Here is a 24,122-nt window from a genome sequence, read left to right as displayed (position 1 = left end):
CAGAATAGGAAGTTGAAGCCCAAACACGGTGAGGATGCATCCATTTAAGATGGACTGCCTGGCATGGAAAATCAGAACCCACATGGTGTGAGGAGGGCATCCAAGCTGAACCAGGCTGGTGTGTGTTAACAGAGCCTGGAGAGTCTTAGTGGGTTTGGATTTGTGGGGAGGGAGTCTATGCACAACAGGTCAAGAGTGGCTCTGTGACATCCACAGCTGGATTGCTCTTTGTTACCACATAGGCTGATGAGCCGGGCGTGCTTTTCATACTTTTAGAAAGCAAATAGCTAAGCACCTTGACAGCTAGCACAACAAATGCATGTCATAATAAGCAATTATTGATCAGGGAAACATTTTTATGGTGTTCTGGGAGTAACTGAATTATATGCACTGATGTGTTTGAATTTTAATTGTTTACCACTTCACTGGGAGTAAAATATGGAGTAATAAAACAGATGATACCCCATTCCTTGATATCTCAGCTCTCCTTGAGCTCAACCTTCCTTCAGAATTACCTTAATCACCCCAGATGAAAAACAAAGTCTAAAGGCTTTTATGATGCTGCCCATAACACTCATGAAATGTTTCACTGTCTCTGCGGCAAGAATAAATATAGTATGTAAACAAGTTTAATTTCTTAAGAGTTCAGCTCTCCACCAGGCATCAAAAACATTCTGAAGTTTATCCCTCTTTGGTTCATTTAGAGAAAATGACAGAAGAAATAAAGCTTAAAATCGTTAATATCACCCAAAGGATGTCATCAAATATTAATCCACACAACATTATCAAAATATGCAGATAAAAGGTTGGACAAACAAGCAAACATGGCGCCATGCTAATCAGTAAACCAGTAATCATTTTCAAAAGTCATGGGGAGAAAAGTACTATTGTTTTTAGAACAAGGACACCAAATTTGGTGCTGTAAACATGAGTGATAGAATGGAAATCATTTAATAAATCTTCCAGTCTAAGTAACACAAACATTTCAAGTAAGAAAATACATTTCCTTCAATGTACTGGAGATCATGTATTTTACATTTTTATGTAACTTAATCTTTCTCTGTTAGGTTTAAAAGGAAATCTAAAAATTTCCTCTATCCTTCATGGGCAGCATTATTTGTATGATTTAAATGTCTCAATTACAGTACTTGAGTGGCAAATGCCCTGTAGAATGATGAGGGTGGGAGGGAACACAAGTGGCCATTACTCTACTCCTCTGCCCCCTAAGTGGGATTCAAAACCATTACCACAGCTAGCAAGGACATAAAAGCCTATCTCTAGATATTATGGAGAAATGTAATATCAGCAGGAGATAACTGAGAAATAAAGGAGCTAACTAAATCAGTGTTTGACTGCTTGGTTCTGGATAACAAAGGCATGTCCTTATAAGGCAAAGTGGCTTCACTAAGTATGGTCCTCCAGAGGAAGGCAGGTCCCCCCTCCATGGTGCGTTCAATATATGGGAGAGAATTTTGTGTTCATTCCTTTGACATGCTAATATAAGTATGTTTTCTGATAGGTACTACTTAATAAATATAATAGCTAATACTTATTGAATTATTATTATATATGCTACCAAAGTATTTCACTTGGAGGGAATATTGGGATAACTGGAATTGATTTCTTCTAATGTAATGGTCCAAGGCAGATTTTACATCATGGGCACTACAGTCCCAGCACCACGCAAAGGGCACTCCCGTGTCCTTTTGTAGTCAGCCCTCTTCCCCACTCCCAGACCCTGGGAACCATGGACCTGTTTTCCATCCCTGTAGCTTCATCTTTTCCAGAATGTCAGATACATGGAATCATGCAGTTATCTTTTTTGTCTGGGTTCTTCTTCTTTTTTTTTTTTTAAGACAGAATCTCACTTTGTTGCCCAGGCTGGAGTACAATGGCATGATCTCAGCTCACTGCAACCTCCGCCTCCCAGGTTCAAGCGATTCTCCTGCCTCAGCCTCCTGAGTAACTGGGACTACAGGCACGTGCCACCACGCCCAGCTAATTTTTGTAGTTTTAGTAGAGACGGGGTTTCACCATGTTGGTCAGGCTGGTCTGGAACTCCTGACCTCAAGTGATCCACCTGCCTCAGCCTCCCAAAGTGCTGGGATTACAGGCATGAGCCACCATGCCCGGCCTTTGTCTGGCTTCTTTCACTTAGCATACTGTATCTGAGATTCATCCATGTTGTTGTATATATCAATTGTTTGTTCCATTTCACTGCTGAGTAGTATTCCATTGTATGGATTTACCAGAGTTTGTTTATCTACTACCCAACTGAGTACAATCTGGGTTTTCTTCCAGTTTTTGGCAATTACAAATAAAACTGCTATGCAGTCTTGGCAATTACAAATAAAACTGCTAAACTGCTGTATTTGCACATAGGTTTTATGTAAATACTCAAGAGTGGGACTTACGGTTGTATGGTTAAGTGCATATTTAACTGGGATTTTAGAACACATAAGGAAAGGAAACTTGGTGATAGGAAACTGTATTCAGAAAGTAGGTGTAATAGCTTCCAGATTAAAATAATAACTAAAAGAAGACTGGAGGAACTGAAATTTTATTTTAATAAATAATATCCAGCACTGGCAAGAATATGGGAACACGCCAGTTTAATGCCCAGTTGGTAATGGAATGAAACAGCACGACTTTTCTGGAGAAGAATTTGGCAGTACCTATCAGAGCATACCATGTACACTGGCTTCATTTCTACCCTCAGAAATATTCACACACATGTATGGGGCAAATGTGCAGATATGTTTGTTTCAGTATTATTTGCAATTATGAAAAATGGTGACAACCAAAATGGTCATTTAGTTTCAGTAACTTAGGACACATTCCTTCACCCTTTGAATACTAGGCAGCATTTCAGTAGAATGGGATATAGCTCTGACATGGACAGTTATTTTAAAGAAATGTTTGTAATATATAAGTACATACATTAATACATATATCTTTATGTGAAAAATATAAATAGACAAATATTTTTTGTGAGGGTATGAAAAGATCTGGAAGCTACACAGCTGGGCTTTACGCAGTGAAGAGTGAGTTAAGGGAAGGGTAGGACACTGGTAAGTAGTGAGGCATGAGATTTGCCTTTTCCTTAATGCACCTCCATATTACTTGATTTCTTTCAAAACAATCATACATGATTTGGCACATAACCAATTAAAGGAGAGCTAAATAATTAATCACTAATTAACAAATGGCCAGCAACCCCTATTGCATCCTCCTCCGACTTTCTAGTAAACCACTTATGAAGACACAGAAAAACTGGAAACTCATCCAAATGAAGAGATAACTTAATGCCTGAATCTGGACAGAACCTCTGTGGATCAGATGGAGCTGGAAAGAGAAGGATGTACCAAACTTTGTCTCCCCAAAGGGGAACTCACTGAATAAAGATAAGAAGGTGTTGCACACCTTCCTGCCCACGAGTCCCTGGTCAGTGTCTATACAGAAATCTGAAGTCTCCTTCTTCATAATAGTGGCTTATCTATGAAAGCATCACAGCTTCCAGCTGGTTTCATTTATATGAATCACCACCTTCTCCTTGTCCTTCTCCTTCTACCATCATTCTAAAACAATACAGATACAACTCACAGAAAACAATAAGCTAAAAATGTACTGTGTGAGGTTGGGAGATGAAGGACATCTGGCAATAGTGTACTGGATTCTCCCCACAGATAAAATACGACAGGTGCATATAGAGACAGAATGATCCCTGGGAGGAGTGTGTGCTAGGAATTTTAGTTTTCATGGGCAGAGTGTTAGATTCAGAGTGCAAGAGAATGAGGCAGAGGGATAGAAAGAGATGCAACTTTTCTACAAGAAAGCTTGCCAGAAACTGACAATGAGTTCTGAAGTTGTACACTTCTCCCTGTCCACTAGGTGACCGTTAAGAAGGGAACTGCTCCATTACACAGGGGTGCAGAGAACTGGGCCAATGGTAATCCCATCCCTAGAATGTTGCCAAACATAAAATTAAAACACATATTCCTTTCTTTTTTAGGGGAACAAGATGCAAAAACTTGCATATAATAAATATATGGGTAACCATTGCTTCTGTAGAAAAGATAAAAACAAATGGAGACACATAAGGGAACAGAAGCAACAGTCAAGTGGCTAATGATCTGGATTAATGCTTTAATCCCATACTCTTAGAAAATAATAATAAGTTTGTGAATCAAATTTTAAGCATGATGCCAAAATTAAACATAAGGAAAAATATTAATATAGATTTAATGACATAAATAATTCTGAATGTTGAAAATTAAAAACAACTTTAAAAGACAAAAGGCATACTGGGGAAGACATTTTTAATACATGGTAGACAAGGCTTAATATCTTTACCAAAAAAGTGCTTATAAAAATAAATCAGACTAGACAAATACATTAATAGGGATGCACAAATTTCACGAATAAGCAGAGCACCAGGAAAAATAAAAAATGGCCAAGAAATATATAGAAGAAAGATGCCTAATCTAATAGTAAAAGAAAATGAAAAAAAAGACAACCTTTTATCAAATAAAATTGGAAATGTTGATAAATTATAACATCTAATATTCTTGAGGATTCATGCATGTAGTGTCAATAATCTTTTTTTTTTTTTTTTTTTTTTTTTTGAGACGGAGTTTCACTCTTGTTGCCCAGGCTGGAGTGCAATGGCGCGATCTTGGCTCACCACAACCTCTGCCTCCCAGTTTAGCTATTTTTAGAGGATCAAGTGATTCTCCTGCCTCAGCCTCCCAAGTAGCTGGGATTACAGACATGCACCACCATGCCCGGTTAATTTTGTATTTTTAGTAGAGACTGGGTTTCTCCATGTTGGTCAGGCTGGTCTCAAACTCCCAACCTCAGGTGATCCACCCGTCTTGGCCTCCCAAAGTGCTGGGATTACAGGCATGAGCACCGTGCCTGGCTTTTTTTTTTTTTTTTTTTTTGAGATAGGGTCTTCCTCTGTTGCCTGGGCTGGTGTGCAGTGGTGCAATCGTCACTCACTACAGCCTTGACCTCCTGGGCTCAAGTGATCCTCCTGCCTCAGCCTCCCGAGTAGCTAGGACTACAGGTGCATGTCATCATATCCAGTTAATTTTTTAAAAAATTTTTTTAGAGGTGGGGTCTCTGTATATTGCCTAGGCTGGTCTTGAACTCCTGGGTTCAAGGGATCCTCCTACCTCAACCTCCCAAAGTGCTGAGTAAGATTATAAATGTGAGCCACTGCGCCCGGCATAATGTTTGATCTAGTATTCCAAATCTTTAAATTTGTGCATATCCTTTGACATAGAAATTCCTCTTGTAGGAATTAATTCCAAAGAAAAAAATCATAAATATGTACAAATTTTTCCTGAGAAGGATGTTTTTGCATTTTAAGCACAACACTGAAAAGGAAGGAATCACCTAAATATTAAAATTGGTTAAATAAATTTTGGTATAAATATATTATGCAATCATCAATCATTGTATTGAGGAAGCATATTTAATAGCAAAGGAAGAGAATCACTCTTTACTGTGAAAACTGAAAATGCATGTTACAAAAATGATATTATAATCTTATTTAGTTTTCACGCAAATATATACCAAAAAAACCCAACACTATTCAAAGGACAGACATCAAATGTTCATGATGATTATCTGTCTAGAGTGAAACTGAGTGATTTGTGTTTCATAATTATTTCTAAAATTTCAACGAGTATTCCAAAAAGAGTCATTTTTTTCTCTTACATTTGTGCAAGATCAAGAAAAATCACTACTCCAAGAAGCGTGCATTGCCATGAGAAATGAAAAAGTGGACAAGCCCGAAATAGAAAATAAATCTGAAAACCAAATGTATCAAAATGGATCTTTCTATTTGTTCCTTCTCAGATTTTTTTTAGATCTTTAATGTCCAGAAAGTACCTCTAATGATAGCATTTAAAAACTTGAGAACAACTTGTTCTGAAATCTTTTATTTATTATCAGCAAACCATAATTTTATCTGACTGCCCAGCAAACTTTGTTTTCCATTCATTTTAGAACAGATGATGGATTGGCATCTAACTTTCTCTTAATAACTTTTAATAATGAATGCTTTCTCTTTTTCTGCTGCTGAAAATGTGTGCATATTGACATTACTCCAGAAAACCTCAGCACAAACTCAATGGCACCCTTCCAGGAGCTAGATAAAACCCAATCCTCAAAGTCTTTCATCATTTACCCCATAGAATAGTAATTCTTACTGAGGTATAGGAGGAGTGAGGCTATCAGAATTTTAAACTACTAATGTCTTGTCAAAGGTTCTGTGACGTGTCTCTAGTGGGGTGTGCCCTAATCTGTAGAGAGTCCACATCTCACTCCCCAACAGGTACACCCATGCAGGCTGAGAATTTCAATGTGCATAGATGTTTCTCATGAGAGAGTGCTGTCCAGGTCCATGGCATGGAGAGAAAAAGCTCAGAACAATGTCACAGAAGGTTTGATTAATCCAGGAGAGAAAGATCCCTTACTGGAAGGCCAGCAAGTAATTTATTTCTTGGTCATAAACTCGAATGCCACCTCTGAAGCTGAGGCCAGGTTTCAATTCACTTAATTTTTCCCCCTGGGAATTCATCAGAATTAGAAGACAACAAAAAGGCTCTATTCCAGGTGCCCAAACTTTTGGCTTCCCTGGGCCATACTGGAAGAAGAATTATCTCAGGCCAAATATCAAATACACTAACACTAACAATAGCTAATGAGCTTTAAAAAAATCGCAAAAAAAAAAACCTCATAATGTTTTAAGAAAGTTTATGAATTTGTGTTGGGCCACATTCAAAGCCATCCTGGGCTCCATGTTGCCCACGGGCTAGGGGTTGGGCAAGCTTGCAGTCTATTCTTTATGTTTAAAATAGAACTTTCTTTCTCAGTAAGTTAATGGATAAATAAACAATGGTACAGCCATGCAATGAAAGATTATTCAGCAATAAAAAAAATGAGCTATCAAGCCACAAAAAGACATTGAAGAACAAGGTGGAATTATGGAGACAGTAAAAAAGGAAAGTGGTTGCCAGGGAGGGAGGATGAACAGGTGGAACACAGAGGATTTTTAGGGCAGTGAAACAATTCTGTATGATACTGTAAAGGCATATACATGTCATTACACATTTGTCAAAACCCATAGAATATACAACACAAAAAGTAAACATTAATGTAAACTATGGTCTTTAGTTAATAACAACATATCCATATTGGCTCAGCTACTGTAACAAATGTACCACACTAAAGTGAGATGTTCATAATAGGGGGAACTGTGTGTGTGATATGGAGTGGGGATAAGGAAGGCATACATGAGAACTCTATTTGCCATGCAATTTTTCTGTAAACCTAGAACTGTTCAAAGTATTAAGAAATATTTAAAAACTAGCAATATAAAATTAATATTTATATACAAAAAGTGGAAAAAAAGTAACTTACTTCCGGTTCACGATTAGCCACTCACGGATGTAGGTCTGAACACAGTCCCTGACATGAGGGTCCAGTTCAACCCTAATGAGGTAGAAAATGAAATAAACACGTTATTACTGGGTAAAACAACAAAACAACCCCTAATCATGAGCAAGGAACATGACACGAATTTAAATCCTTATCAGTGAGAATGCTTAGGATGTTCTTGCCCAATCATTCCAAATGTCTGAAGTATTCCTGGGGCAATAAACATTTTTACTTTGATGAGACAAACATGTTGGCATTTTTTTGCTTTGTGGGTTTTCTTTATTATACAGAATCATGTTAAATTATAACTATCCCCGAAGGCATTCAGACACAAGACAGGTAGAACTAGCTGTATTCGAATACAAAACAAGGAAAATAAGTATAAATACCTATCTCTGACAGGGTAATTTGGACATATTTTTTATGCATGTGTAACCTTGTTAGGACACGCGTGTTCTCCTTTTTGAAAGCCAGGAAAAAGAACAGTTGTCTTATGCTTTGATGAAATTGCAAACACTGGCTTTTGTTGGTGATCATTAATTCAGTTGGTTCCTGTCATGTCTACTTAAGGAATGCACCATGAGCAATACTCTTCAAGTGCTTCAGAGTCTTGAAATCAAAAATAACAATTGTAGCAAAGCTTTTTGCTATTGTTGCAAATGCATTAGTACCAGAAATAAACAGGCTTAAATGCTACAAGCCTTAATTTTCTCATCTGTGATAAGGAGGTAAGAACAGAGACATGCTGTTAGTATTAGATAAAATATTGTAAAGGTTACACATGCAGTCTCTGGGCCCTAATTGCCCAAATCCCAGCTTCATCGCTTATAGCTATGTGACCATAAGCCAGTCACTCAACCCTTCTGTGCCTCAGTTTCCTCTCCTTAAAGCTGTTAGAGTAGTAAGAGTGCCCCTTTTAGTAGACAGCTTTGATGAAGATTAAATCGGTTAGTGTGCAAAGTGCTTAGAAGACTGCCTGGCACACAATAAGACGCATATATGATATTAATAGTTTACACTTAGGTAGCATTTACTGTGCATTATGCACTGAGGCAATCACTTTATATGTATTAATTCAGTTAATTCTCAATCAGCACCATAGGGCAGGCATTACTATTATTCTCACTTTGCAGAAAAATGAGATGGTAAGGATCTTGTTCCAAGTCACACAGCAAGTGGTGGAGCAGGGACCTGAATCCAGGCAGCTCACCTGTAGCGTTCATGTTTTTCACTACCACGCCATCACAGCTCAACATAAAGTTCTGGGCTAGGCACAGGTTGTTCAACAGGAGTCAGCTATTGTTTACTCTGGTGTGATGATGATACCTTCCCCTGCCTTAATTATACAGAAGACTTTTTGGCAACAACTGAAATAGTAGAGGCTGTCTTAAAGACATCAGACAGGTATGTTACCTATAAATTCTTTTGACAAGGCAACAGTATACTAAAAAACTGATGCTAAGTAAAGAAATTATCTTCCTTATCAAATTTCAAAAAAAAAAAAACCTCCTCCTTCCTCTAAATTCATTGTACTGTTTTTTGTTTTTGTTTTGTAAGAAACAGGGTCTCACTATTTTACCCAGGCTGAACTCAAATTCCTGGGCTCAAGTGATCCTCTTGCCTCAGCCTCCCAAGTAGCTGGGACCACAGGAACAAGCTGCGGTGACTGGCTACTGTAAGCATTTTAAACAGCTTTTTCCAAGATTCTGACCATATTTGGAAACATCCATAAATTTTACATAAAGGAATAAATTAAATGATTCTTCACTAAAGATGAAATAGTAGGTGTTAACTTATACTAAAGTCATACCTGAATAAATGGACTGAAAATGGGGGAGTATGTTTCCCAAAAATGACAATGTTTTTCTTTCCTGGGAAGTGTGTATTTTTAAAACATCAGAGCTACACATATGGTCAGTTCTCCTATGTGAGTGAGGACTGTCTGAACAAGAGAGCAACGGTTCACAATAATACCAGCCCATTATCATCCAACCTCCTTAAACTGTGATGAAATAAAATCCAAAATAGAACTAGAATATCTCAGAGTAAAGAGGGCAGGGGCTGTGTGTCAGGATCTTCTTTCTGGGACCTTCTGGGGAAGATGAGAAGATGGAACCTGTCCAGGAGGATATGAATCTTAATTTGGCTTTTAAAATAAATGTAAATAAAAGTTTATCCTAAACCTCCAAAGAGACATTTTTTTTTACATTTTAGAAGCAACAGGCGTTTCATTTAGCTACAATTCCACAGTTAGTTTGATGCCAAAAACTAATGCCCAAGCCTATAAACATATAGAAGAGCCAACTATAGAAACTCAAGCCCTAATTAGCTATTCACATATTTATTCTACAGAGCTCTCCCCACTGTTTTAGCACTGCATGACACTTTCTTTAAAGGAGGGACTTTGACTTATTCATCTTTTTATCTCAGTACCCAGAACATAGTAGATGCTCAATAAATGTGGGTTTACCTTATGTTTCTAACTTGATCCAGTCTCATAACTGTAAGCAATTAAAATGCTTCTGGATGGTGGCATTTCAGTAATTATTATTAAAAATCTTGACATTTTTACAAATGGAGAAACCGAGGATTTGGGAGGTCATGTGACAGCCAAGGTCACTGAGCTGGCAGCCAGGTGGTCTGGCTCCAGAGCCTGCACTTTTAACCTCCTCTTGAGCATTTCATTTGGTCCTCCTGCATCCCTTGCACTGGCTTAGTCTTCACATAGCTTTTCAAAATCTCTGGCCAAACTAATTTAAAAACTATCTATACTTACATGATGATATCATATAGCTGTCCCACACATTTGAATGGATTGAGTAATTTTATTTTATTTTTAAGTTCAGATTGAAGGCATCTCCCCTACCCACTTATTGAAAACAATCATGACAATCCCAATCACATCTACATTTTAGAAAACTATTTACCCTTCCTCCGGCAAAGAGGGCTGCAAAGTCCTACATTCCTTTGGCGTGAACACCACGTCCAAGTCGTCATCAGTGAAGTCCCCGAGCTCCTGGGCAAGCTGCACATCCAGGCTGTTCAGGTGTGTCATCAGAAGTCCTTCAAAGTCCACTGGCTCCACAGGGTCATAAAACTGAGGCTGGAGGGGCAGGGAAAAGGAAAAGGAGGTTCTCACCCAGTTTTCTGGTAAAAGCACAAAGGCAATAGTAGATGTTTGCCTTGCTTTCCTTTGACTTAGTAAGTACTTCGCTCCTGGCATAAAACGGAGCGACTCTTTGGAGGAGCTGTCAAACACAGAAGTAGTGATATGGAAAAAAATGCAGCACAGAAAGTCAAGTCATAACATGATGAGTAATTAAAATCCCACCCCAAGGCGGAATTTTTCTCTCCTTAATTGCAACTTGATGAGGAATCCTGAGGAGATCCAAAATGAGATCACAAAGCTTTGCTGAATTTTTATAATTTCTCCCGCAAAGGCTCTCCGAGGCCATGTTTTGTTTACCCAAATACAGTGAACTAGGGAACGGAGACAATTTTCCAGAAATCCAGGCAAACTCAACACTCCTTGGCTGAGTGTTTAGGCACAGTGTTTCTTTTGGCCTAAGTTATGCTATACATTGGTTCTCGAAAGCACTTCATATATAATCATAGCTGACAGTGAACACCGAGTGTTTCGGTGGCTGAAACAATCCAGGGCAGTGATTTCTAAATGTCACTGGGGCGACTGGTGCTGGTCTGGAAGAAATTTCCACTGGACTGCAGCTACGCAAGGAAACTCAGGGCAATCTGCTGAGTTTTCATATAGCTAAATTTACTCACTTTGAAATAAGTGTTCTTTGCTCTTCAATTTTACCTTCCACAGTTGGAAAGAGGGGGAGTAAAAGAAATAATAGAAATTGATGGTAATTATAAAAACAATTCTTATAATTGATAAAAAGTTGGCAACCTTTGTCAGTCCTCAATTAAAATATATTTTCTTTTCTGTGAAATCCAAAGACTTAGGAATGACCACCCTAAGAAAGTAAAAGAATCCCTTAGATCAAGTAGATTTGTGTCATATTAATAGCAGCTCTATGAAGTGTTCATTTATGGCAGTCTTTGGAGTCATCAGCCCAAGGGAGGTTGGGGGTGGTGGGGAAGTTACTGTTTTTCTCTATCTCTACCCTCCAGTGGACCAACAAAACAAATATCTTGGATTCTTTACTTGCACTGCCTTGATGGGAGACAAGGGCAGATCCAAGGGAAGTACTAACGAAACCAGTTTTTCATCGCTTTGAAATCACATACCAGAGTAAGGGCTTCAAGCTGGAGAGGAGAGACAAAGCGCTGTTGAAGAGGCAAGAGGAAATAAGATCAGAGAATGGAGATGTGGCAGGCCTCGTCCCCTCCCCACTCTTGCTGTCCCTGATGATGGAGGAGACATGAGTGGCGTAAGTTAGGGAGTGAGGATGAAGCTGCAAATTAGGCAAAATATGCCCTACTTCCTGTCTGGGATTTTTTTTTTAACTTTTAGGTTTGGGGGTACATGTGAAGGTTTGTTACATAGCTAAAGTCATGTCATGGGGGTTTGTTGTACAATTATTTTATCACCCAGGTATTAAGCCCAGGACCACATAGTTATCTTTTCTGCTCCTCTCCCTCTTACCACCCTTCACCCACAAGTAGGCCACAGTGTCTGTTGTTCTTTTCTTTGTGTTGGTAAGTTCTCATCATTTAGCTCCCACTTATAAGTGAGAACATGCAGCATTTGGTTTTCTATTTCTGCGTTAGTTTGCAAAGGATAATAGCCTCCAGTTCCATCCATGTTCCCACAAAAGGCATGATCTCATTATTTTTATGGCTGCATAGTATTCCATGGTGTATATGTACCACATTTTCTGCATCCAATCTGTCATTGATGGGCATTTAAGTTGATTCCATGTCTTTGCTATTGTGAATAGTGTTGCAATAAACATTCACACGCGTGTGTCTTTATGGTAGAATGATTTATATTCCTCTGGCTATATACCGAGTAATGAGATTGCTGACTTACATTATCCTATGCCATGGCAAAGGAGGGCAGAAGAGAAGGTGACAGGACAACCTCAGTAGCTGAGAGCAAAGCATTCCCCTCGTTTCCCGGGGTTTTCAGGTGCTATGAGAAGGGACAGAGTCGGTTCCCTTGGTTCTGACTGGGGACCTGAAGGTCAGCTGAAGAGAGGACTATAGTCCTTACAAGGGTCCCTCTGAAAATGAAACAACAGGAACCATGAGGGGCTAAAGGAGCCAGAGATCAGCCTGTGCAGGAGCCAGATGAGGACTAAGTTTGCATTAGGACACTGGTGAACTCTGCCAGAGGAAACAACAGACACCATCTATGCACAAGACAAATGCATCTGCCAATCTGCCACAGACACCTCCATAGGACCAACCCCACAGGATAAAGAGGACTCTCCCACGCCACCCAACCACCACATGGAATACAGAGTTTAGAGTCAGGATTGAATGACTTCTATAGGAAATTATGAAACTGCATTTTTTCCAGCCCCAACCTCATTACTATAAAGTTTATACCCATTTAAGTAATAATTATTGAGCATTACTATGTGCAAAGAAATTGGACTAGGATTGTCTCATTCAATCCTCACTATAACCCTGTGAGGTATGCATTCTTACTGCAAATTGAGTTCAATTGGTGTTTCAGAGTTTTGAATTTTTCATATCATGTCATATTTACATATACAAAATGAGACATCCACGGGATGGAACCCAAATGTAAACATTAAATTCATTTATGTTTCATATACACCTTATACACATAGCCTGAAGGTAATTTTAAACAATATTTTTAATAATTTTGTGCCTGAATAATTCTATTCAGTCATAACAAAGAATGAAATCATGTCTCTTGCAGCAACGTGGATGGAACTGGAGGCCATTATCTTAAGTGAAAAAACTCAGAAACAGAAAGACAGATATCACATGTTTTCATTTAGAAGTGGGAGCTAAATAATGTGTACACATGGACACAGAATGCTAGACATGAAAGGCTTGGAGAGGTGGGAAGATGGGAGGGGGTGAGGGATGCTAGATTCCTGAATGAATACAATGGATGCTATTTGGGTGATGGAGACACTAAAAGTCCAGACTTTACCACTATGCAGTATATTCATGTAGCAAAACTGCACTTGTACCACTTAAACTTATACAAATAAAAAAAAGTATTGTGTGTATGAAACAATGTTTTGACTGTGACCTATCACGTGAGGTCAGGTGTGGAATTTTCCACTTGTGGCGTCATGGAGGCACAAAAAAAGTTTCAGATTTTGGAGCATTTTGAATTTTGCATTTTCGGACTAGGGATGCTCAGCCTGTATGCTCATTTTACAGATGAAGAAAGCGAGGCTAGAGATTTAATAATTTTCCCATGATTACACAGCTAGGGACTGGCCCATCTGGAATTCAAACCAAGGCAGACTCACATTCTTAACCGCTATAATTTTGATTGTTTCCTTTTGCAGGCCTTTCAAGAAATCTGTATATTTTGAAATAATCAAAACACCAGGCAATATTAAGTGTGTTTGGAAGTGAGTCAAATAATATATTTACCAGGACCCACACGTTCCACTCTGAGCTTCTCATAAGATTGGCTGCTCAGAGTAATAATAGTAAGTAAATAAAAGTGATAATAAATGTAAACTTATTGTGAAGAATATCAATTACTCAAGGAGAGGCAATGGAAATATACACTTCAAAATTATACTGAAGCATAGTTTGAAGCAAGGTGACATGAGCCGTAAAACTAGTGAGTAGAAGCCTCATGGAGATATGACATTTGTGTGCAATCATCAGTGAGAAAAAATTTCACTTCCTGCCAGAGAATAATACTTGTCATGTTGGATAGGCAAGGTGGCTCACACCTGCAGTCCCAGCACTTCGGGAGGCCAACGCAGGAGGATTGCTTGAGCCAGGAGTATGAGACCAGCCTGGGCAAAAAAGTGAGACTCTGTCTTTACAATTTTTTTTTTTTTAAAGTTAGATGGGTGTGGTGGTACACCACCTATACTGCTGGCTACTCCAAAGGCTGAGATGGGAGAAACACTGAGCCCAGGAGTTCGAGGCTGCAGTGAGCTGTGATCACATCACTGCACTCCAGCCTGAGTGACAGGAAGACCCTGTCTCTAGAAAACCAAAAAAAAAAAAAAAACAAAACGAAACAAAAAGCAAACTTGTCATGTCCCTGAAATTCAAAGCCACAAATGATGAAAAACCTGGCTGATAACGGCCCCTGTTATCTACAGGAGAGACTATCCAGGGAGAAAATGATGGCTGACTTCCTCACTCAGCAATGATGTTCTGAGCATCTACTGGGTAGGGCATACTGAGCTCCTGAGTTGGCCACTGGGGATACAGAGGATCACAGGCAGTTGTTCTCACGGAATTGCACTCTAATAAACCATGAGGTGGTGAAATGTGCAACTTTCTCACACGTAAATAATGCCATTATTTGGTGGGGGGAATTTGATAAAGAACATATATCATCATTAAGCACTGTGTGGCAATGTGCCAAGGGCAACACACCCAGTTGATGATAAAGTCATAAACTCTCGAGGTCTGAAGCTATTCCAGTACTGAAGAGCTGGTAAGCACCAACAGCAATGACAGCATTACTGAGTACGGTTCTGGCACTACACCCAAGCTGACATTGAATAGTTCGTCTCCCCTACTCTTTCTACACTGAAACTAAAGTGGGAGGAAACTGGTCATTCCAAATGTGGTGTAAACTAGTCTTGCCCTTGGCAAGTGGGTGGAGACCCTAACTACTGTTAACTAGGCCTCCTAGCAGTTGTTCCTCTTGCAAATTCAAGTAATAACCAGGAACTAAAAAAGATTTCTGTTCTCTAAACTATCAGGAGTCTTAATCTCAAGAGTAGGCTTTACTATGAGGCAGTCAACACACACACACACACACACACACAGGCACACAAACATATATACATACATCTAGTGGTAAGCCAAAGAAGAAAACAAATATTGGAGAGAGTTACAGTGGCATTGCATTTCAGCAGGGATGCAGTTTAGAAACAGGGTCGGGTAGGGAATGAGGAATTTCCTAAGATCGGTTCAAGGCAAGACTTGGGTCCCTGGAAGCTCAAAAGCCAAACATGAAAATTAACTGTTTTGCTTTCTCTGCTGTTCTGCTATATGTGGTCTCCTAGCCAGTGGAGACCAAAGACTAGTTTAAATGAACATCAAAGTAATTTCAAGGTCACCTTTATGTCATGATTTTTCAGAGTATGCATATCATTCGTTATATGTAATAACATAAGAAAAAATCAAAAATTAAAAACCAAAACTACTTTTTTTTTTTTTGAGACAGAGTCTCACTCCGTTGCTGGACTGCAGTGGCGGGATCTCGGCTCACTGCAACCTCCACCTCCTGGGTTCAAGAAATTCTTGTGCCTCAGCCTCCTGAATAGCTGGGATTACAGGCATGCGCCACCACGCCTGGCTAATTGTTGTCATTTTAGTGGAGACGGGGTTCCACTACGTTGGCCTGGCTGGTCTCAAACTCCTGGCCTCAAGTGATCTACTCACCTCGGCCTCCCAAAGTATTGGGATTACAGGCGTGAGCCACCGTGCCCAACCCCTTTTGAAAAATAAGACAAAAATACTTAAGACTGCAAATGCAAATGCTCCTAAACCAGGCTTTACCTTTTGTGACGGCTTCATGATGTGTCAACGTGGCTAGGCTGAACTACATTTCCTTGAATTCCTTTCCAGTATGTTTTCAGACAGGGTGAGCTACAAGAGAGTTCTCCTGCAAGAGCTGGAGGACAGAAGGGAGACTGCAGCCATTTTGTAGCATACACACACATTTTTTCAGTTACATCATCAGTCATTTAGGTGCTTCTGTGAAGGGACTATTGCCAATGTAATTAAAGTCCCTAAACAGGTGACTTTAAGTTAATCAAAGGAGAGATTCCCCTGGGTGGGCCTGACTTAGCCAGTGGGAAGCCTTTTCTAAGAAGGTAGAGGCTCTCTGGCAGTTCAGACTCCAGGCTTCAGCTTGTGCCCAAGGGAGCTCAGTCTGTTGGGAATATTTCCTTCCTGACTATCTGCCCTGCGGACTTTTAAGCTCGCTTAGCCACACACCAGCAGTAGGCAAGCCAATACCTTCACACACATCCATATGGATTTCCTACAGCTTCTGTTTCTCTGAGTGAACCTGACTGATACGCCTCCTTTCATTCATTCAACAAACACTACACTGGGGTCCTACAGACACTAGGCTAAAGAAACCGTCACTTCCCTCAAGCAATTTTCAATACTTCTCTAGTGAAGGCTTATGCAGTCTTTCTTTTTAGTTGTTTTTTTCAGACTTCTGGTCAGTAGACTAGAAACACACAAAAAATAATTAGAAATATCACCAAAGCTTAAATTATCCACAACCAAATATTCATTTTTAAAATTAAGCAAGTTTGAGATTTCCCTTGCCCCTAACACATGTCAAAGGCTATTTCTCCTGACAAAGGGTAAGATTCAATTTGTTCTCAAATTGAAAATTCCTACAACCCCAGAACCATATCTGTTGAAAATTAATCTACATAGCTCCTAACACAGTGTAGTATACAGATAGCTGACTCAAACCACAAATCTAAACAATATTTCACAAATAGGATAGTGAAAACAGAGAGGTTAAATGACTTGCCCCAAGTCACATGTGCAGTCACACAGGACCTGGCTGCCTCGTTACAGCACTGGGGAGGCTTCACGCCACTCCTGGTGGGGACGGGGAAGAGGCATGATGTCTCCAGCTGGCGCACCTGTATCCTCATGCATGTTTCTTTACCTTTTGGAGAGTGGTCCTCACATTTACTTGGCTGTTCACAACAGACAAGCCTTGTCAAAGTCACCTAAGACTTCATGATGCCAAATTCAATGGTTTTTGCTCAGTCCTGGTTTATTGGACACAGTTGTTCACTCTCTCCCTCTTGACATACTTTCTTCCCATGGAAGGCAACCAATTGTCTCAGGGTGTCCCAGTCTCTTAAAGTCTCATGTACTGAGAAAATCCTCAGTACCAGGCAAATTGTGACAGTTCGTTCCTCTATTTTACAGATACCACTTTTACTAGGTTTTCCTCCTGCTATGCAGTGCCCTGGAGTTCAATTCTAAATCTCTTCTCAATCTGCATTCAATCTCAAATGAACTCATTCACTCCCATGGCTTTAAATATACATTTTTAAAATTACAAGTTTATATCTGCAGCCTCAACTTCTGCCATAAATTCCAGGTTGACTTTTCCAATTACACCTCAACATCACTACTTGATAATTTAACAGACCTCTCAAACACAATGAGTTCAAAACTAACTCAACTTTCCTGGCAATCTGCTCTTCCCATACCTTCCATACCTCCACACTTCTGCAAGTGGCAATTCCAGTCCACCAATTGCCCAGGTGGAAAACATTAAAGTCAATCTTGCTTCTTCTCTTTCTCCTACACTCTACATATCACCCATCAGAAAATCCTATCCACTTTCTTCTGAAATATATCCAGAATACTTCTCACTTTCTCTTCTGCCACCACCCTCGTCCAAAGCACCGGTATTGCTTTCCTGAGTTACCGTGACATCTTCCTAACTGCCCTCCCTCGTCCAGTCTATTTTCCACACTGCAGCCAGAGTGATCCTCATAAAAAGTCAAATGGTTCCACGCCCAACCTCAATGCTCACAGCAGCTTCCTGTCTTAGAGTAGGAGCCAATGTTCTACAGTCTCTGAGGCCTGTGACCCAGCCCTGCTTTCTCTATGACTGCATTTCCTACTGCCCACTCTGTTCAGGCCTCATTCTGCTTCCTTGCTGCTTCTGGAGCACGTCACTTATTGAAGTTTTGGGGACTTTGCACGTACTGTTCCTTCTGACTGGAATATTTTTCCTTCAGATGTCCGTCAAGTTCATTCAGAATTCTGCCCAAGTGTCTCCTTTCTAGATAGAGGCCTTCACGGATGATCCAATCTAAAAGCATCTCTTCTGGGTCACGATTTCATTCTTCAAAGCCCTCAATACTCCCTGACACAATCGACATTTTCTATTTGTCTGCGTCTGTCCCTCATTCTGAAAGGCAAACTCTATGAGGATAGGCCCTCTATTGTATTCACTGTTGTATCTTCAATCTCACTGCTGTGCCAGCAGTTCCTGACATAGAGACCCAATACATATTTCTAAAACGAATGAGTAAGCTCTCTACTATCTTTAAACGAAGCTGAAGGCAGTAAAGTTCTTCTAGCTTCTGTGATATCGAAGTTCTGTACTTTATGGACTAAACACTCTCCTGCTTCCAACAACAACAATCTAGCACTGATGCCACTAAGAGGGAGATGCTGACATGCCACCATGGGCATCACTCTAGTTTCACCAAGGCTGAGTTGATTCCTCTGCTGAACAATGACAATAAAGAAACGTCTGCTCTGTGTGCAGAATGCCTGCCACTCTTTCCTTTTATCTTCCATTGTGAATTTGCAAGAAAATTATCTTGAGATCTTCATTTTCCGTCATGTCCCTTCCAGTGCAATCAGTGAAACCTAAGAATAGCCCAACCCCTTGAAAGATGAAGTGCAAAAGAACAACAGAATCAGAAGAATAAAAGAGGACCATATTTATCAGGCAATTAACCATTTAAGTCATCATGAGCTGTAAAATAAAAAAGGCTGCTTTATTGCACAGAAGCCTATACACATAACAAAAATAAATGCCTTCTAAGCTATGAGACTTTTTTTTTAAATAAATGTTACATATACAAACATGCCATGTAACCATGGTGTTTGGTACATATCCAGGATGTGGCTTTTTACATCCTTTTCTTCAGTCAGAGCCGTTATGGTCCAGCTAATTCATTCCATTTCACTTCAAAATTGTTCTATTCTCACTTTTAAAAATAGGATTTTTCCCTCCATAAAATATGTAGCTTAAGGTTATTAACCACCTACACAGTCTCAAATCCTCCTTACTTCCTTAGGGCATAGATCCTAACTCTTTCTTCTCTTGTCCTCTCGCCTCCCCTCCCCTCCTTTCCTCTGAGACAGGGTCTCCTAACTCTTCTCTTGTATGTTACTCTTCTTTTGTATGTCTTCTCTTCTCTTCTCTTCTCTTCTCTTCTCTCTTTCTCTTCTCCTCTCTTCTCTTTTCTTTTCTGAGACAGGGTCTCACTCTGTTGCCCAGGCTAGAGTACTGTGGCTCAATCATGGCTCACTGCAGCCTCCAACTCCTGAGTTCAAGTGATCCTTCTGCCTCAGCCTCGCAAGTAGCTGGGACTAAAGGCATGTGCCACCATGCCTGGCTAATTTTTCTTTTTAACTTTGTTGTAGAGATGAGTTCTCACTATGTTGCCTAGGCTGGCCTCGAACTCTTGGCTTCAAGCTATCCTCCTGCCTCTGCCTCCCAAATTGTTGGGATTACATACAGCCATGAGCCATTGTGCCTGGCTTCTACTTTGAACAATCAGAAAATAGGCCGGGTGTAATGACTCATACCTGTAATCCCAGCACTTTGGGAGGCCAAGGCAGGCAGATCACTGAAGCTCAGGAGTTCAAGACCAGCCTGGACAACATGGAGAAACTCCGTCTCTACAAAAAAAATACAAAAATTAGCCAGGCGCAATGGTGCGCCTGTGGTCCCAGTTACTTGGGAGGCTGAGGCAGGAGAATCGCTTGAGCCTGGGAGGCGGAGGTTGTAGTGAGCCAAGATTGTACCACTGCACTCCAGCCTGGGCGACAGAGCAAGGCCCTGTCTCTAAATAAATAAATAAATAAATGAAAAGACAATAGTATATTACAGTTTCATTTTAACAGAGGTACTGATTATAGACTTGTTTGCCTGAATAGGTGGCTGGCACCAGAGGGTCTCTGGTTAATCTATTCACACAGCTGTGGCAATAGAGAATGCCAAAGCCAATAAGTGAGTCTACACACAGGGTTATTTACTAGCCACAGCTGCCTTCTAGCCCTGGTCACAAAGGATTTTGGTAGGAGTGTCAAATAGACCTGGGACAAGTTTATCATCACATCTAGAAAACCAACTTCAAATGATGGATCCCCTTCATACTAAAAAATGCAAAATTTGAAAATATTTTATCTACTTAGAAAATGTTTATACACATAGTCATCAGACCTGATATTTATAGTTTTTAAAAACCCCAATAAAACAAAAAGAAAAATCAACATCAAACATACACCCTTCCTCTCATCTGATTTATCAGATTTATGACAGAAACCACTGTATTTTCTAAGGATATATCTGTAGGGTTAGTAAGTGGTCTTTGCTTACTACACCTTCTGAAATTCAAAGCACACAGGGCAAAATAAGTGTTACCTTTCTTTATATATTCCCCCCATTTGGAATACGTCTACCTTTAAAGTTTTTTTAAATGGGCCGAGCGCAGTGGCTCAAGCCTGTAATCCCAGCACTTTGGGAGGCCGAGGCGGGCGGATCACCTGAGGTCAGAAGTTCAAGACCAGCCTGGCCAACATGGCGAAACCCCGTCTTTACTAAAAATACAAAAATTAGCCAGACATGGCGGCAGCTGCCTGTAATCCCAGCTACTCAGGATGCTAAGTCAGGAGAATCACTTGAACGCAGGAGGCAGAGGTTGCAGAGAGCAGAAATCACATCACTGCACTCCAGCCTGGGTGACAGAGGGAAATTCCATTACAAAAAAAAAAAGTAAAACTAGGCCGGGCCCAGTGGCTCATGCCTGTAATCCCAGCACTTTGGGAGGCCGAGGTGGGTGGATCACTTGAGGTCAGGAGTTTGTGACCAGCCTGGCCAACATGGTGAAACCCTGTCTCTACTAAAAGTACAAAAATTAGCCAGTTGTGGTGGTGCACGCCTGTATTCCTAGCTACTGGGGAGGCTGAGGCAGGAGAATAGCTTGGACCTGGGAGGCAGGAGTTGCAGTGAGCCAAGATTGCGCCACTGCACTCCAGCCTGGGTGACAGAGCGAGACTCCATCTCAAAAAATACATTAAAATTTTAAATAAATAAATAACAGAGCTGTTTAAATGATTCTCAACCTGGGCTTCAAGTTAAAGTCCCCAGGGAACTTTAAAATACTGATGCTTGGTCCCCACCCCCAGGAATTCTGATTGAATTGTCCCTAGATAATTTTAATGTCCAGTCAGGGCTGAGAACCCTTACTCTAAGTCTTCTCAGCCTTCTCAATCAAGCCTTTGCCTCCTATCACATCATGTATCCTTTTCTCTTCTAAACACCTGCCACTTTTGAAGCCAGTATATTCTACATTACCTGTTCTCCCAAATGGATCATAAAGCCCTTCAGAGCTGAAGTCACCTTTTATTCATCATCTTCTTTTAATCTCCCACAGTGTCTCCATAGTGCCAAATCGTAAGAGAGCAATACTAGCCAATATATACAAAGGACCCATTATATAATTCTATATTCCCTACTAGGGACAGCATTATTATGCCAATTTTACAAATGAAGAAACTGAAGTCTTCAGAGAGATTAAGTGGCTTGTCACAAATTACATGACTAATAAATGACAACTGTACCTCATCCCAGATTCACCTGACTCCAAGCTCTTCACTCTTGCAAAACAGCAGCAACAACAAAGACGTGTAAATGATTAGGTTCTAAATAACTTGACTTCAATTAAATGCTTTTTAAAATTAAACAATCATTTGTATCAGCAAGTGGGCCATTGAAATGGTGGTTGTAAAAATAAAGGTAAGAGAAACGAAGGTCAGAACGCACTTGGTCTTATTTTTCAATTAGCCAAAATAATGCAACGAAAACCTACGGCTTCTCATTTTAAGGAAAGTTTTCTAAAACAGCTTTAGGTTGAGAGTCTTTAGATGATAAACTACTCCTTTGCCTTCCTAGAAATGAATCTTACCGACATGTTCCATTATCTTTCCATGAAAAGAAATTTTTTTTTAAAGGTAAAAGGAAATCACCACATAAGTTGATGATTTCTTTTGGGGAACCTTCATTCGGGACGATGACTCAAGGGGAAGAACAGCCACTTCATTCTGACATTACAACACGATACCAGGTAAACATTATGGAGATGGATTTCCTAAGCAGACTATTCATCTAAAAAAAAAAAAAGAAAAGAAAGAAAAGAAAAAAAAAAGAATTCAATCCTCTGGGCTTCCACATGCCTCCGTTCTCCAGGTAGAAGGAACAAGAGCCATATACTGAAGTTGAAGTCAAGAGATGGGAAAAGAGATTCAGAAAAGTAAAGCGGAATAACTGGGAGTAATATATTCTAAAGGATATTCACATGCAAATAGAACCAAGACTAAATGATGACAGGTAGGAACATGTGATTCTTGCATAATTTAACAATTTTACTTATTGTTGCTGGTTTCTTGATATCTTAGAAAATGGACAGCTAAGCCACATGTTAACGTCACTACCCGGCTAAGGTAGTAATTCATCAAAATTCACTTTCATCAAAACTTACTGAGGAGGCAGCAAACTTACCAAACGAATGCTTACAGATATTAAGCATTATTTTCCTTTGTAACTTTACATAAAATAATTTCTCCTGAAAGAAAATTTAAGGCTGTGGCATTAAAGTAAAAGCTGGTGGCCGGGCATGGTGGCTCATGCTCGTAATCCCAGCACTTTGGGAGGCCTAGGCGGGCGGATCACCTGAGGTCAGGAGTTAGAGACCAGCCCTACCAACATGGAGAAACCCCGTCTCTACTCAAAATACAAAATTAGCCAGATGTGATGGTGCATGCCTGTAATCCCAGCTACTCGGGAGGCTGAGGCAGGAGAATTGCTTGAACTACAGGAGAATTGCTTGAACTAGGAGGCAGAGGTTGCGATGAGCCGAGATGGTGCCATTGCACTCCAGCCTGCGTGACAAGAGCTAAACTCCATCTCAAAAAAAAAAAAAAAAGAGTAAAAGCTGGTATGGAGAGAAAGGGTTAAAGCCTGTTAGCTAAACTTCCTTAACGTCTCTTAGGAGTGATGTCCACACTACTTCCCAAGACAACTACTGCAGAAAGCTGCAGCCTTCATTTACTTTTTAAAAAAGCAAAGCACTAAACCCTCTACCTTGTTTAAAATTTAAAAGTGTATCCAATCTATTTTAAACTAAATTTTGCATGTTTTGGAATACAACTTCAGTCAATTTAAAAAAATTTTTTTGATTTTTCAATTAAATATATATTAGCACAAATTAAACCAATAAGCATATCTAATTTATCTTGGTGTAAAGCTTATCTAATATACCTGAAAATGGACACAATATGCACTTGACATGCCTTTATTATACTCTGCAATTCTGAAACACAGGAAAAGTACAAATAAAAAGGCCAGTCTAGCAAGCCACTGAAGTCATAAGTAGATTTTCTGAAAAAATGGCATGGAAAGTTACCTCCTGCAGTAAAAGATGCTATAGGTTTTTCGTACTACTATTTCATTAATGACGCAACACACAAATTATCCTTCTGAAATAACCAGAAATCACTCCAGTAAAACATACCTTTGAAAGATTCACAGTTACACGGCGCGTAAATTGTTACAGGAGACAAAATGGCGGTTACCGGAAACTGAGCGGAAGGTTACAAAATTTCTAAGGCAGAAGTGGTTTCGAAGTAATAAGTAGAAACAAAAAGTAACCTAACCTCTTCAAGATAAGCAGCAGAACCAGCAAGAGTGCTGCTGTGCTGTGTGAGGAAGTGAGTACAGGAGG

At 39.9% G+C, this 24,122-nt stretch overlaps 1 protein-coding gene across 17 annotated transcripts in view, besides 3 other annotated features; it reads right to left on the bottom strand.

Moving 5' to 3' along the window:
- DOCK8 (dedicator of cytokinesis 8) overlaps positions 1-24,122 on the bottom strand; it is a 253,999-nt gene that overhangs the window by 168,243 nt on the left and 61,634 nt on the right. For 7 of the 17 annotated variants that reach the window (XM_017015173.2, XM_047423927.1, XM_011518045.4 and 4 more), the window contains 2 exons: positions 10,377-10,552; positions 7,432-7,503 (listed from right to left, as the gene is read on the bottom strand). In XM_017015173.2, coding sequence (XP_016870662.1) covers positions 7,432-7,503; positions 10,377-10,504 — 200 coding nt within the window. In that variant the 5' untranslated portion in view covers positions 10,505-10,552. Of the gene's footprint in view, positions 1-7,431; positions 7,504-10,376; positions 10,553-11,700; positions 11,740-16,107; positions 16,223-23,912; positions 23,968-24,122 lie in introns of those variants that run through there. The other 10 variants (NM_001193536.2, XM_047423935.1, NM_001190458.2 and 7 more) reach the window with 5 other exon arrangements.
- Positions 10,019-11,218: an enhancer, noted in NCBI's record as "BRD4-independent group 4 enhancer chr9:285795-286994 (GRCh37/hg19 assembly coordinates)". NCBI's record gives its function as "activates an origin of replication core promoter dependent on BRD2, P300/CBP, MED14 and CDK7 cofactors, and independent of BRD4, by STARR-seq in HCT116 cells {active_cell/tissue: HCT116}" and the evidence as "EXISTENCE:reporter gene assay evidence [ECO:0000049][PMID:35650434]".
- Positions 14,804-14,853: an enhancer, noted in NCBI's record as "active region_28116". NCBI's record gives its function as "activates an Ori minimal core promoter by ATAC-STARR-seq in GM12878 lymphoblastoid cells {active_cell/tissue: GM12878}" and the evidence as "EXISTENCE:reporter gene assay evidence [ECO:0000049][PMID:35858748]".
- Positions 15,024-15,283: an enhancer, noted in NCBI's record as "active region_28115". NCBI's record gives its function as "activates an Ori minimal core promoter by ATAC-STARR-seq in GM12878 lymphoblastoid cells {active_cell/tissue: GM12878}" and the evidence as "EXISTENCE:reporter gene assay evidence [ECO:0000049][PMID:35858748]".

This window comes from Homo sapiens, chromosome 9, assembly GCF_000001405.40.
Source record: "Homo sapiens chromosome 9, GRCh38.p14 Primary Assembly".
Taxonomy (NCBI): domain Eukaryota; kingdom Metazoa; phylum Chordata; class Mammalia; order Primates; family Hominidae; genus Homo; species Homo sapiens.
This window is presented reverse-complemented; position numbering and strand designations above follow the sequence as displayed.